The 15,329-nt window shown below is 46.0% G+C and overlaps 1 protein-coding gene across 8 annotated transcripts in view; it reads right to left on the reverse strand.

Moving 5' to 3' along the window:
• PLA2G4C (phospholipase A2 group IVC) overlaps positions 1 to 15,329 on the reverse strand; it is a 62,972-nt gene that overhangs the window by 27,289 nt on the left and 20,354 nt on the right. For 5 of the 8 annotated variants that reach the window (NM_001159322.2, NM_003706.3, NM_001159323.2 and 2 more), the window contains 4 exons: positions 15,230 to 15,283; positions 13,552 to 13,578; positions 9,925 to 9,978; positions 2,637 to 2,690 (listed from right to left, as the gene is read on the reverse strand). In NM_001159322.2, coding sequence (NP_001152794.1) covers positions 2,637 to 2,690; positions 9,925 to 9,978; positions 13,552 to 13,578; positions 15,230 to 15,283 — 189 coding nt within the window. Of the gene's footprint in view, positions 1 to 2,636; positions 2,691 to 2,760; positions 2,918 to 9,924; positions 9,979 to 13,551; positions 13,579 to 15,229; positions 15,284 to 15,329 lie in introns of those variants that run through there. The other 3 variants (XM_011527431.4, XM_047439584.1, XM_017027414.3) reach the window with 2 other exon arrangements.

Consider the following 15,329-nt stretch of genomic DNA (forward strand, 5'->3'; position numbering starts at 1 on the left):
GTTGGAGGCAAAGTCTCCCATTTATTTATTTATTTATTTATTTATTTATTTATTTATTTATTTATTTGAGACAGAGTATTGCTCTGTTGCCCAGGCTGGAGTGCAATGGGGCAATCTCAGCTCACTGCAACCTCTGCCTCCCAGTTTCAAGAAATTCCCCTGGCTCAGCCTCTGGAGTATCTGGGACTACAGGCACGCACCACCACCAGGCCCGGCTAATTTTTGTATTTTTAGTACTGATGGGGTTTTACCATGTTGGCCAGGCTGGTCTCGAACTCCTGACCTCAAGTGATCCACCCCCCTCAGCCTCCCAAAGTGCTGGGATTACAGGCATTGAGCTATCATGCCTGGCATCCCCTCTTATTTTTATCCACACTCATGAATTAGATGATGTTCAACTCTCTCTCTCTCACACACACACACTGATAATAGCTCTGCTCACGTTTGCTGAGAACGTCACCTGCCAGGCTCATCTTGGCATTTTGCATAAATTCTACACTTCAACCTTCACCGCATTCCTTGGAGTGAGCTCTCTGAGGCTTCTTTTATAAGGGATTAATCCAAATCAAGAGGGCTCCACCCTCATGGTCTCAACACCTCCCAAAGGCCCCATCTCTTAATACCATCACCTTGGGGTTGCCATTTCTTTTTTGTTGTTGTTGTTGTTGAGACAGGTTGTCGCTCTGTCACCAGGCTGGAGTGCAGTGGTACAATCACCAGCCTACCATCCCACAACATTAGTTAGCCATTTGCAGGTTGGAGATAGATTCTCCTTCCAGACTTGTCTATAACCAGCATATGGTGAATGCTGATGTCAAAAAACAACATTAAAGCCCGCCATGTGGCAAGAAGTTGGCTCTCTGCAACCCAGAAGAGGGTTCCCCAGAATCCAACCCTACTGGTACTCTGATCTTGGGCTTCCAGCCTCCAGAACTGAGAAATTAATCTCTGTTGTTGCTAAGCCAGCCAGCCTATGTATGGCACTTTGTTCTGGCAGCCTTCACAACTAAAACAGGGAGGGAGGCATGAAGTGGATGAAGGGCTGTGCTCAGGACCTACCTTCACTCTGTACCTGACTGTTGACCTGTGAAAAAGCCACACTTGCATCTTCCACAACTGGAAGGAAGACCATCTTTGTCAGCCTCTGCTGTAGTTAGGTTGGGGCCATGTGACTGATCCTGGCCAACAGGAGGTGTGTGGAGCTGGTGCCCAATACTTCCAGGCCTGGCTACAAAAGGCCTTCTGTGGCACTCCAGCTCTCTCCTCTCATGGAACAGACAAGGAGACCTTGTGCCAAGAGGAGAAGCAACGAGATGCAAGCAGCTTGGCCCAGCGCGGTGGCTCACACCTGTAATCCCAGCACTTTGGGAGGCCCAGGCAGGCAGATCACTTGAGGTCAGGAGTTCGAGAGTAGCCTGGGTAATGTAGTGAAAACTCGTCTCTACTAAAAATACAAAAATTAGCCAGGTGTGGTGGCAGTTGCCTGTAATCCCAGCTATTCAGGAGTCTGGGGCAGGAGAATAGCTTGAACCTGGAAGGCAGAGGTTGCAGTGAGCTGAGATTATGCCACTGCACTCTAGCCTGGGTGACACGGCTAGACTCTGTCTCCAAAAAAAAAAAAGAAAAAAGAAAAGGAAAGGAAAAAAAAGACGCAAACAGCTTGGATGCCTAAGTCCCCACATGGAGCCAAGTTGCCCTGGAGGAACACTCAACCCATATCGCTTTTTGGGTAAGCAAAATATAAACCCTTTGTGTCTTAAGCTATAGCAATTTGTGGTTTCTTTGCGCAGCATAGCCTCTCCTGAACAAATATAGTCTCCTCCATAATATAATCTAACTTCTCCATACAGAATTCATCTGATACTTTGTTCTTGTTCTCCGTACTCCCACCATGGGTCAAGTCTGATTCCTTCATGACTCCCAACCTATGTAGTTTTGGGAAGTATTTTTCCTCTCAATTTGCTAATTGCCTCAGGCTGTTCCCATTTTCTGCCTCTGACACTTGGATCCTAGGCATACCTAGGGTATATCTGACGACTATGTACATGGATCCTATGGTTAGACTCATCCAAAAAGCTCCTAGGTCTAATGAATGAATTCAGTAGAGTTTCAGGATACAAAATCAATGTACACAAATCAGTAGCACTGCTATACACCAACAATGACCAAGCTGAGATTCAAATCAAGAACTCAACCCCTTTTACAACAGCTGCAAAAAAATAAAATAAAGTACTCAGGAATATACCTAACCAAGGAGGTGAAAGACTGCTACAAGGAAAACTACAAAACACTGCTGAAAGAAATCATAGATGACACAAACAAATGGAAACACATCCCATGCTCATGGATGGGTAGAATCAATATTGTGAAAATGACCATACTGCCAAAAGCAATCTACAAGTCCAGTGTAATTCCTATCAAAATACTATCATTTTTCACAGAGTGTCAGTTTGAACTCCGATCCTGCCCCTCCTGGCTGCGTGGCCTCAGGCACCTGGGAGAGTCCATGCTCCTCTCCATTCCCAAAGGAGCACCACATGAATCAGACACGTAAAGTTTTTAGGACAATGGCTGGCTTCAAGCCAGTGTGCAGTCCACACTATCATTAGGGATTCATGGCAAAGTAGGATGCTTACCTTCTGGGGGAGGATGTTCCCCTTGTGAACTTTCTTGCAGCCTCAGTAATCGGGCTGCAAAAGAGCAGAGGCAGGGGGAATGTTTAACTGTAAAGTCACTAGTTATAGAAAATACAGATTACCTGCAGCGACGTCTCTTTAATAGAAATGGCAGCCATGGGTTGGAGTCTGTTGATACGGGTTCTGGAGAGCTAATTTTGTACCCGTCTTCCAACTCTGTGCTCGCTGACCTCATGTTGGTAGCTTGAAATTTGCCATGATGTGATCAAGTGGGTTTCATACTAGGAATGCAGGGATGGCTTAACATATGCAAGTCAACAAATGTGATATATCACAGAAACAGAATTAAAAACAAAAATCATAGGAGATGCAGAAGCATTTCACAAAATCCCACATCCCTTTATGATTAAAGCCCTCAACAAAATCGGTATACAAGAGACATACTTCAATGTAATAAAAGCCATCTATGACAAACCCACAGCCAACATTACACTGAACAGGGAAAAGTTTAAAGCATTCCCCCTGAGAACTGCAATAAGACAAGAATGCCCACTCTTATCACTTGTATTCAACATAGTACTGGAAGTCCTAGCCACAGCCATCAGACAAGAGAAAGAAATGAAGGGTATCCAAACCAGTAAAGAGGAAGTCAAACTGTTAGTGTTCACTGATGATATGATTGTACACCTAGAAAACCCTAAAGACTCATCCAAAAAGCTCCTAGGTCTGATGAATGAATTCAGTAGAGTTTCAGGATACAAAATCAATGTACACAAACAGTAGCACTGCTATACACCAACAATGACCAAGCTGAGATTCAAATCAAGAACTCAACCCCTTTTACAACAGCTGCAAAAAAATAAAATAAAATACTCAGGAATATACCTAACCAAGGAGGTGAAAGACTGCTACAAGGAAAACTACAAAACACTGCTGAAAGAAATCATAGATGACACAAACAAATGGAAACACATCCCATGCTCATGGATGGGTAGAATCAATATTGTGAAAATGACCATACTGCCAAAAGCAATCTACAAGTCCAGTGTAATTCCCATCAAAATACTATCATTTTTCACAGAACAAAAAATCCTAAAATCCTTTTTTTTTTTTTTTTGAGACTTAGTCTCGCTCTGTTGCCCAGGCTGGAGTGCAATGGCCAATTTTGGCTCACTGCAACCTCTGCTTCCCAAGTTCAAGCGATTCTCCTGTCTCAGCCTCCCAAGTAGCTGGGATTACAGGCGCATGCACCATGCCTGGCTAATTTTTGTATTTGTAGTAGAGATGGGGTTTCGCCATGTTGGCCAGGCTGGTCTCAAACTCCTGACCTCAGGTGATCCACCCGCCTTGGCCTCCCAAAGTGCTGGGATTACAGACGTGAGCTACCATGCCCAGCCACAATCCCAAAATCCATATGAACCAAAAAAGAGCCCTCATAGCCAAAGCAAAGACTAAGCAAAAAGAACAAATCTGGAGGCATCACATTACCCAATCAAATTATACTACAAGCCTATAGTTACCAAAACAGCACGGTACTGGTATAAAATTAGGCATGTAGAACAATGGAACAGAATAGAGAGCCCAGAAATAAAGCCAAATACTTATAGCCAAGTGATCTTCGACAAAGCAAACAAAAACATAAAGTGGGGGAAAGGACACCTTATTCAACAAATGGTGCTGGGATAACTGGCAAGCCACATGTAGGAGAATGAAACTCGATCCTTATTTCTCACCTTATACAAAAATCAACTCACAAATTCAATGTGAATTTGCATCAAAGACTTAAATATAAGACCAGAAACCATAAAAATTCTAGAAGATAACATCAAAAAAACTCTTCTAGATGTTGGCTTAGGCAACGAGTTCATGACCAAGAGCCCAAAAGCAAATGCAACAAAAACAAAAATAAACATATGGATATATGGGAACGATGGCTCACGCCTGTAATCCTGGCACTCTGGGAGGCCCAGCTGGGCGGATCTTCAGGTCAGGAGTTCCAGACCAACATGACGAAACCCCATCTCTATTAAAAATACAAAAATTGGCCAGGTATGGTGTTGGATGCCTGTAATCCCAGCTACTCAGGAGGCTGAGGCAGGAGAATTGCTTGAGTCTGGGAGGCGGAGATTGCAGTGAGCCGAGATCGTGCTGCTGCACTGAAGCCTGGGTGATGGAGTGAGACTCCGTCTCAAAAATAAACAAATATATGGGACCTGAGTAAATTAAAAAGCTTCTGTACAGCAAAGGAAGTAATTATCAGAGTAAACACACAACCCACTGAATGCGAGCAAATATTTGCAAACTAGGCATCCACAAAAGACGATTATACAGAACCTATAAGGAACTCAAAGAAATCAGCAAGAAAACGAATAATCCCACCGAAAAGCATCCCAATGATATGAATAGACATTTCTCAAAAGAAGATATTCCAGTGGCCAAGAAACATATGAAAAAAATGGTCAGCATCACTAATCATTAAAGAAACGCAAATGAAAGCCACAATGAGATACCATCTTACTCCCACAAGAATGGCCATTGATAAAAATTCAAAAAAAACCATAGACGTTGGTGTGGATGCGGTGCAAATGGAACACTCACACACTGCTGGTGGGAATGTAAATTAGTACAACCTCTATGGAAAACAGTATGGAGAGTCCTCAGAGAACTAAAAGTAGATCTACCGTTCGATCCAGCAATCCCACTACTGGGTATCTACCCAAAGGAAAGGCAGCCATTATATGAAAAAGACACTTGTGGGCTGGGTGCAGTGGCTCACGCCTGTAATCCCAACACTTTGGGAGGCTGAGGAGGGGAGATCACTCGAGGTCAGGCGTTCAAGACCAGCCTGGCCAACATGGTGAAACCCCATCTCTACTAAAAATACAAAAATTAGCTGGATGCGGTGGTGCACATCTGTAGTCCCAGCTACTTGGGAGGCTGAGGCAGGAGAATCACTTGAACCCACGAGTTGGAGGTTGCAGTGAGATTGCACCACTGCATTCCAGCCTGGGCAACAGAGCGAGACTCTGCCTCAAAAAAAAAAAAAAAAGACACATGCACATGTATGTTTATAGCAGCACAATTCACAATTGAAAGATATGGAACCAGCCGAGCATGGTGGCTCATGCCTGTAATCCCAGCACTTTGGGAGGCTGAGGCGGGTGGATCATGAGGTCAGGAGATCGAGACTATCCTGGCTAACACCGGTCTCTACTAAAAATACAAAAAAAAAAAAAAAAAAAAAATTAGCTGGGCGCAGTGGTGGGTGCCTGTAGTCCCAGCTACTCAGGAGGCTGGGCCAGGAGAATGGCGTGAACCTGGGAGGCGGAGCTTGCGGTGAGCCGAGATCGCGCCACTGCACTCCAGCTTGGGTGACAGAGTGAGACTGTCTCAAAAAAAAAAAAAGATATGAACCCACCTAAGTGCCCATTGACAAATGAGTGGATACAGAATATGTGGTATATAAACACCATGGAATATGACTCAGCCATAAAAAAGAATAAAATAATGTCTTTTGCAGAAACTTGGATGGAGGCCATCATTCTAAGTAAAGTAACTCAGGAATGTAAAACCAAAAACCATATGTTCTCACTTATAAGTGGGAGCTAAGCTATGGGTACGCAAAGGCATACAGAGTGGCATAACGGACTTCAGAGATTCAGAAAGAGGAGGGTAGGGAGGTGGGGATAAAAAACTACACATTGGGGCCAGGAGTGGTGGGTCATGCCTGTAATCCCGGCACTTTGGGAGGCCGAGGCAGGTGGATCACCTGAGGTCAGGAGTTCGAGACCAGTCTGAGCAACATGGAGAAACCCTGTCTGTACTAAAAAAATACAAAATTAGCCAGGCATGGTGGTGCATGCCTGTAATCCCAGCTACTCGGGAGGTTGAGGCAGGAGAATGGCTTGAACCCAGGAGGTGGAGGTTGCGGTGAGCAGAGATCGCTCCATTGCACTCCAGCCTGGGCAACAAGAGTGAAATTCCGTCTCAAAAAACAAGAACAAAAACAAAAAAACACTACACATTGGGGCCAGGTGTGGTGGCTCATGCCTGTAATCCCAGCACTTTGGGAGGCTGAGGCGGGCAGATTGCTTGAGCTCAGAAGTTCGAGACCAGCCTGACCAACATGGCAAAACCTCATCTCTACTAAAAATATAAAAATTAGCCGGGCATGGTGGTACGTGCCTGTAATTCCACCTACTAGGGAGGCTGAGGCAGGAGAAGCACTTGAACCCAGGATACAGAGGTTGCAGTGAGACGAGATCTTGCTACTGCACTCCAGCCTGGGCAACAGAGTGAGACTGTCACAAAAAACAAAACCAAAAAACTACATATTGAATGCAACATACTCTAAAACATACACTGATGGGTGGACTACAGTCTCAGAATTTACTACTACATAATTCATCGTGTAACAGAAACCACTTGTACCCCAAAAGCTATTGAAGTAAAAATTCAAAAAAAAACAAAAAAATCTTAATATTTAAAAATATTATTACCTAATAGTAGCAGTGTTGATCCTTATAATTAAAATATTGTACATGTTATAACTTTTTACTTGAGACCAAATCAAAATTCAATTTTTCCACATGTGCTGAAAATGCGATAGAAAGCTAAGTCCTGATACACGTCGGTTAGGTCAAGCTTCTGCTTCATCTTTTTCAAATTTTTGAATTGTCAATAAATAAATTTTGTCTGCTTTTTTTTCTTTTTCTTTCTTTCTTTCTTTTTTTTTTTTTTTTTTTTGAGACACAGTCTCGATCTGTTGCCCAGCCTGGAGTATAGTGGTGCGATCTCGGCTCACTGCAACCCCTGCCTCCCGGGTTCGAGCAATTCCCCTGCTTCAGCCTCCCGAGTAGCTGGGGTTACAGGCGCCCGCCACCATGCCCAGTTAATTTTTATATTTTTAGTAGAAACGAGGTTTCACCATGTTGGCTGGGCTGGTCTCGGACTCCTGACCTCAAGTGATCCACCCACCTCAACCTCCCAAAGTGCTGGGATTACAGGCGTGAGCCACTGTGCCCGGCTTGCTTTTTCTTTCTTTCTTTTTTTTTTTTTTTTGAGACGGAGTCTCGCTCTGTCGCCCAGGCTGGAGTGCAGTGGCTCGATCTTGGCTCACCGCAAACTCTGCCTCCCAGGTTCACGCCATTCTCCTGCCTCAGCCTCCCGAGTAGCTGGGACTACAGGCGCCCGCCACTACGCCCGGCTAATTTTTTGTATTTTTTAGTAGAGACGGAGTTTCACCATGTTAGCCAGGATGGTCTCGATCTCCTGACCTGGTGATCCACCCGCCTCGGCCCCCACAAAGTGCTGGGATTACAGGCGTGAGCCACCGCGCCTGGCCCTGGCTTGCTTTTTCTAACAATACAAGACATAATAAAAATAATATTGACATTTAAGAGGACACTCCCATGTGTCAAGCTTTGCTCTAAGTACTTTACATACATGAGGTCATTTAAACCCCACATCAAATAGTACATAGTCCCAATCTTGTATATTTGATGTATATTTACATTTATTTGATATAAATATACAAGATTGGGGCTATGCACTATTGTATCCATTTTACAAAGGAGAAATTGGGTCACAGAGAATTTTGTTGTTGTTGTTGATTTTCTTTTCTTTTTTTTTTTTTTTTTGTTTGTTTCATTTCTTTTTTTTCTTTTTCTTTTTCTTTTTTCTTTTTTTTTTTTTGAGACTGTGTTTCACTCTTGTTGCCCAGGCTGGAGTGCAATGGTGTGATCTCAGCTCACTGCAACCTCCACCTCCTGGGTTCAAGCGATTCTCCTGCCTCAGCTTCCCGTGTAGCTGGGATTACAGGCATGTACCACCACGCCCGGCTAATTTTGTATTTTTAGTAGAGATGGGGTTTCTCCACGTTGGTCAGGCTGGTCTCAAACTCCTGACCTCAGGTGATCTGCCCACCTCAGCCTCCCAAAGTGCTGAGATTACAGGTGTGAGCCACTGCGCCCGGCCCCTCATTTCTTTATTTTTTAATTTTTTTCACAGAGAATTTAAGCAGCTTTCTAGGGTCACTAACGCATGAGAGGTGGAGCTGGGATGTGGATTCAGGCAGACAGGCTTTGGATCAGAACCACCATACGATTCCCCTATAGATCCCTGTGTCTGCACTCACCAACCAGTTACATAGGTGAGTCACGCATCCTTTCCATGACCCGGTGGCTCTCAGCAAAATGGAGGGGACAACAGCATCCACTTCTTCAGGTCATTCAAAGGGTTAAATGATGAACAGGTAACGAATGCCAATTTTGTGTGTGTGTGTGTGTGTGTGTGTGTGTGTGTGTGTGTGATGGAGTCTTGCTCTGTTGCCCAGACTGGACTGTAGTGGTGTGATCTTAGCTCACTGCAGCCTTTGCCTCCTGGTTTCAAGCGATTCTTGTGCCTCAACCTCCTGAGTAGCTGGGATCACAGGCGTGCACCACCATACTTGGCTAATTTTTGTATTTTTAGTAGAGACGCATTTTCACCATGTTACCCAGCTTGCACTCGAACCCCTGACCTCAAGTGATCTGTCCGCCTGGGCCTCCCAAAGTGCTGGGATTACAGGCATGAGCCACTGCGCCGGGCCAGGCTGCTTGCATCTTGTTGCCCAGGCTGGAGTGCAATGGTGTGATCTCAGCTCACTGCAACCTCCGCCTCCTGGGTTTAAGAGCTTCTCCTCTTGGCACAAGGTCTCCTTGTCTGTTCCATGAGAGGAGAGAGCTGGAGAGCCACAGAAGGCCTTTTGTAGCCAGGCCTGGAAGTAGCAGGCACCAGCTCCACACACCTGTTGGCCAGGATCAGAAACCTGAACTCCTGGCCTCAAATGATCCGCCCGCCTTAGCCTCCCAAGTGTTGCGATTACGGGTGTCAGCCACTGCATCCAGCCAGATTGCTAATGTTTACTGAGTGCCTTTATCTACCAGACACTGTCCTATGTGCTTTTGATGAATTAACTCATTTAATCCTCATAACTACTATTATTATCACCCACATGGCACAGAGGCAGAAACTGAGGCACAGAGAGGTTAGGTAACTTTTCAGAGGTCACAAAGCTCACATGTACCACAGCAACATTCCTTCCAAGGGTGTCTGTACTCTCATCCACTCTGTGGTCTTCCTGGCTGCCCATAATCAATGTTCAGTGTATGAGAATAAATGTCAGGAAATGTGGTTGTTAGAACCATTATACACAGGCCTCTTTTCTGCCACATGCAGGAAAAGTACTGTGAATCTCCTTGCATAAAATATCTCTAGGCTTTGACCTTTCTGTTCCCCAAATACTCACCAAAAATAAGGTGTCCAATGCTTTTAGCATTAGCAACAGCCCTTCTCCATAAACCTGCCAAGAAAATAGCAATAAAATTCAAACATTCTCCATCACATGACTGTCATGTTTGATATTCAAAGCACCAGCAGACTGGCATAAAGCACTGCAGGGATCTGCAGCAGGAAGAAAGATCATTCTTCCATTCCATAAATATTTATGAAGCAATCAGTGGGCACCCGGCACTCTTCTGACTGTTGGAATAGAGCAGTAAACAAGACAGATTTGTCCTCAGGAACCTTCTATGGGTGGAGCCAGCCGGGCACTGTAGACTGGCTACCCCAAGGCCATTTCAAGCTCCCTTCCATGCCAACGTTTCTCAGCCCACAGGCAGGAAGGGCAAATATTTCCCAGCCTCCCTTGCAGCTAGAGGGAGGTCAAGCTCTGGCCCATGCAGATTTATGGGGGCACTTCTGGAAAGTCCTAGCTGTCCTACTATGAAAGAGCAGGACAGCAAACATGTTGGATTAGAGGCATTGCTGGCATACCCCTCCCACTTGGAAGGACAAAACACTGTGTAGAGATTCACACTGTGAACTTTTTTTTCAAGAAGTGATTCAGGAATTAGACAGGAAATCTGAAGGAATCCACAGTCCCTTTGAAGGAAGTGACGGGCTGCAGCCTATACTGTGACTCAAGTGAAGGGCTGCGAGTCCCCAGGGTGTGAGATGGGGAAAGACTGTTTGCAGGACACACGCCCCCACCACACCAGGGAGCCTGAAAGTCCAGTCTCTGGGGTAAGGCCTTAACCCTATTCAGTGCAGGATATGACTTGGGGAGGTTCGTGGAATATAAGTAGGAGCTGTGGGAAGAACCCTGCATGCACTCCCAGATCCCAGTATGGACCCAGGGAAGCCATTCCTTATTGTTCCTCACAGGGCACCCTGCAGTGGTCAGCCAAAAAGTTCAGGTGGGTGGTCGCAGGTTGAAAGAAGCCCCCAGCTGGGTTTCATGAGATAACTGTGGGTGGAGGTGAACTTCTCCACCCACATGGGGTGAATGAAAAGCAAGCTGCAGACACGTGTGCAGGACCCTGGCACATGGCTAGGTGGGATAGATGGGGAGGGGCATGGCCTGAGAGCAGTGGTTGCTATCTCTGCAGGGAAAGCTTATGACTTGGGGGCATTTGCAAGTTCTGAGCACAGGCTGCCTGGAACTTAGCTCACCACTGCCAGTGGAACAGGGTGGGAGGGGATCTGCCTCGCCAAGTGTGTGGGATCCGCGTGGGGCTTACTGCCACCTGCCACTCCCCACTCCCTACACAAACTCTTCTGTGCAGCAGAGGCAGAAACATTCCTCTCTGGATTATCAGCACATGGGTCTGAAAACCACCCCCACCCCCTGATACCCACAGGAGCTGCTGCTTGCCCTGCACAGGGAGAGTTAGAGCACAAAACTGCCTGACCCAGCCCACACCTGGCTTTGCCCTGCCACCCGCCCTGGTGGCTTTAATACAAAGGACGGAAACTTTTGGGAACTCTGTGGCTCTGCCCATTGCCTGAGAAACAAGAGTAGCCACCCTGGGCAACATAGGGCAAGTGAATATCCCACTGCTACTACTGCAGCTGGTGCTCCACCTGCTGGGTGGAGGCCAACCAACACAGTCCATGACAGCATCTCCTGGTAGGATAACACTGGGCCCAGGAAGGAGAAAATGGCTCTATGTCCTCAGCTATCACCACTGCATGCACCACTCTGGCTAACCAGGAGGTCCTGAGTCTGTCCACATGATCAGTTCATTACTACTATAACTAGCATTCAAGGAAGCCAACCTACTAAGGCTGTCCATCAGCAAGGAATCTCACAGAGCCTGTGTCTCTCTCCTGCCACCCCCATTAGAGCTGGTGCTGCTTCCCATTGCTGGGAGTCTCGAGGACAGGGGACATTACCGGATTCCTTGGAGACATTCCCAAGAACCAGCCTGAAGTGTGGCAGCTTCACTGGGTGGCTAGACCCAGAGGAACAATAACACTCACTGTAGTCTGGTGCTCAGTGACTCCTATCCTAGGGGAATGGGGAGTGCACCACATCAAGGGAACACCCCATGGGACAAAAGAATCTGGACAGCAGGACTTGAAAATCAGATCTTTCTGCTGGTGGGAAGTTTCTTTCAGCAGGGACACAGTTTCAGTGCTGGGCTCAGCACGGAAAGCCCACAGCTCTAACCCAACCATCAGACAGCCCTGGTGTGCATGAAGGGTCTTGGATAAGGGGATGTCTTTCCCCTCTCTTCCACTGCCACAGGCACAGTTGGGGTTTCTCCCATGGGAGCTCAGCATGGGTACAACTATAGACAGCCTTTCTGGAACATATCAGGGCGACTGCATCCCCACAGGAGGAGCCCCTCTAGGTTTAGGCTTGCATAAGAGACAGATTCACAGTTCCTCTCTACTCAGAACACCAACATTCCTACAGATGAAAAGAGGTGCCCGTCTGATCTGAATAGCTGGAGCACTGGATCACGAGTGTGTCTGAGAGATGGATGGCTTTCTGGCTGACCTGGCAGGGGAGCTGAGGTGGCTCCAACCCTTCTGCCTGATAAGACCACGGTGCACAGCCAGGCATGGTGGCTCACGGCTGTAATCCCAGCACTTTGGGAGGCCGAGGTGGGCGGATCACCTGAGGTTGGGAGATCGAGACCAGCCTGACCAACACGGAGAAACCCCATCTCTACTAAAAATACAAAATTAGCTGGGCATGGTGGCAAGTGCCTGCAATCCCAGCTACTCAGGAGGCTGCGGCAGGAGAATTCCTTGAACCTGGGAGGCGGAGGTTGTGGGGTGAGCTGAGATCATGCCATTGTATTCCAGCCTGGGCAACAAGAGCCAAACTCTGTCTCAAAAAAAAAAAAAAAAAATCTCGATGCAACTCACTGAGAGCTCCTCCAGCCACCTCTGTCAAGGCTGGGACCTTTGCTCACCATTGGGTGTTGCATTTACTCACATGTTTTGGCCACAATCACTTCCTATGCACTCCCCTACAGACCTGAAGCCTGAACCATCAAACCAGTCAATAAAATACTGGGGAAAAAATTGCATGCCTTGTGGGGAATGAGTTAAGCTTCAAGAGTCTTCTACCATTCCAGCCCTGTAGGCAACAGTGAACTTGCTCACACAGTGAGCACATCGCTTCTACAACCAGCATATGAGAAAGCCATCACACGAAGACTCCCTATATCCAAGGAACTCTTACAATCTTCACCCCTGAAAGCACCAAGGACCAAATTAGGCTATAATTAGCTAGGGACATTAAAGTCACATCCTTAAGCGGAAAAAAGAAAAAAAAAACACAGTCAAATCCAACATAAATTCAAGAATAATTAAAAGAAATAGTCTACTCAAATGAGAAGGAATCAGAAAAGTAACTTTGGTAATATGACAAAACATGGTTCTACAGCACCCCCAAAAGATCACACTACCTCTCCAGCAACAGATCCAAATCAAGATGAAATCTTTGAAATACCAGATAAAGAATTCAAATGGGCACCAAATGAATCATACATGTAATGTTCCTAGGACAATGGCTGGCCTCAAGCAAGTGTGCGGTCCCCATTATCATCAGGGATTCATGATGAAGTAGGATGCTTACCTTTCAGGGTCAGATTCCTTAACTGGTCTGCAAAAGAGTAGAAGCAGGAGGAATGTTTATCTGTACAACAAAGTCCCTAGTTATAATATAAAAAATACAGATGACCTGCAGGGATATTTCATTAATAGAAATGGCAGCCATGGGCTCCAATGGCAGCCAATGGCTCTCGAGAGCCAATTTTGCACCTCTCTTCCAACTCTGTGCTCAGTGACCTCATGTTGGTAGCCTGAAGTTGGCCACGGTGGGAACATTTACACCACAGGAATTGGCAAACACTACATATCAGGAATTTTGTTTTTGTTTTTTAGAGAGAAAGCTTAGCAGACCCACTGGAGAAGTAACACTCAGACCCATCTCACACCTTTAGTTAGCCATTTGGAGGTTGGATATAGATAGATTCCCTTTTTAGTTTTGTTTTTAACCAAGCTATGGTGAACACCAATGTCAAAGAACAACATCAGCCCGGGCGTGGTGGTTTATGCCTGTAATCCTAGCACACTGGGAGGCTGAGGCAGTGAATCACTTGAGGTCAGGAGTTCAAGACCAGCCTGGCCAACATGGTGAAATCCTGTCTCTACCAAAAATACAAAAATTAGCCAGGCACGGTGGTGCGCGCCTGTAGTCCCAGTTACTCGGGAGGAGAGTTGCTTAAGCCTGGGAGGTGGAGGTTGCAGTGAACTGAGATCATACCACTGCACTCCAGCCTGGGCAACAGAGCAAAACTCTGTCTCAAAAAAACAAACAACAAAAAAAGTCAAAGTGTAAGAACTAGGACAGTGCCTGGCACACAGGAGGTCCCATGAATATACATTAAATGAATGACGAGTGGTTTAGGGTGTGAACTCAGTAATGATCCTAAAAATAAGATTAACATGTAATGAAACACTCCCATGTGTCAGGCTTGGCTCTAAGCATTTTACATACATGAGGTCATTTAAACCCCACATCAAATATACGAGACTGCGACTACGTACTATTGTCTCCATTTTAGGAAGGGGAAATTGGGTCACAGAGAATTTAAGCAGCTTTCCAGAGTGAGCAGTGCAGGAGAAGCAGAGCCGGGATGTGGATCCAGGCAGACAGGCTTTGGATCAGAACCACCACACTATTCCCCTAGAGATCCACCACCCAGTTCTCCTATAGATCCCCGCGTCTGCACTCACTGACCAGCAGTGTGGGTGAGTCACGCATCCTTCCCACGACTTGGTGGATCTCAGCAAAATGGAAGGGACAAAAGCGTCTGCCTCTTAGGGTATTAAAGGGGTTAAATGTTAAATGAGGGACCAGGTAATGATTGCTAATGTTTACTGAGTGCCGTTATCTACCAGGCACTGTCCTACAAGCTTTCAATGAATTAACTCATCAAATATTCATAACTACTGTTATTATCACCCGCATGGCACAGAGGCAGAAACCGAGGCACAGAGAGGTTAAGTAACTTTTCGGAGGTCACAAAGCTTACATGTACCAGAGCAACATTCCTTCCAAGGGAGTCTGTACTCTCATCCACTCTGTGGTCATCCTGGCTGCCCAATTATATGAGAATAAATGTCAGGAAAAGCAGTTGCTAGAACAATTACACACAGGTCTCTCTTCTGCCATGAGTAGGAAAAGTACTGTGAATCTCCTTGCATAAAATATCTCTAGGGTTTGACCTTTCTGTTCCCCAAATACTCACCAAAAATGTATTCCCTAATGACTTCAGTGTTACCAAGAGCACTTCCCCATAAACCTGCCAAGAAAAGAGCAATAAAATTCAAACATTCTCCATCACGTGA

Source organism: Homo sapiens, chromosome 19 (assembly GCF_000001405.40).
Source record: "Homo sapiens chromosome 19, GRCh38.p14 Primary Assembly".
Taxonomy (NCBI): Eukaryota; Metazoa; Chordata; class Mammalia; order Primates; family Hominidae; genus Homo; species Homo sapiens.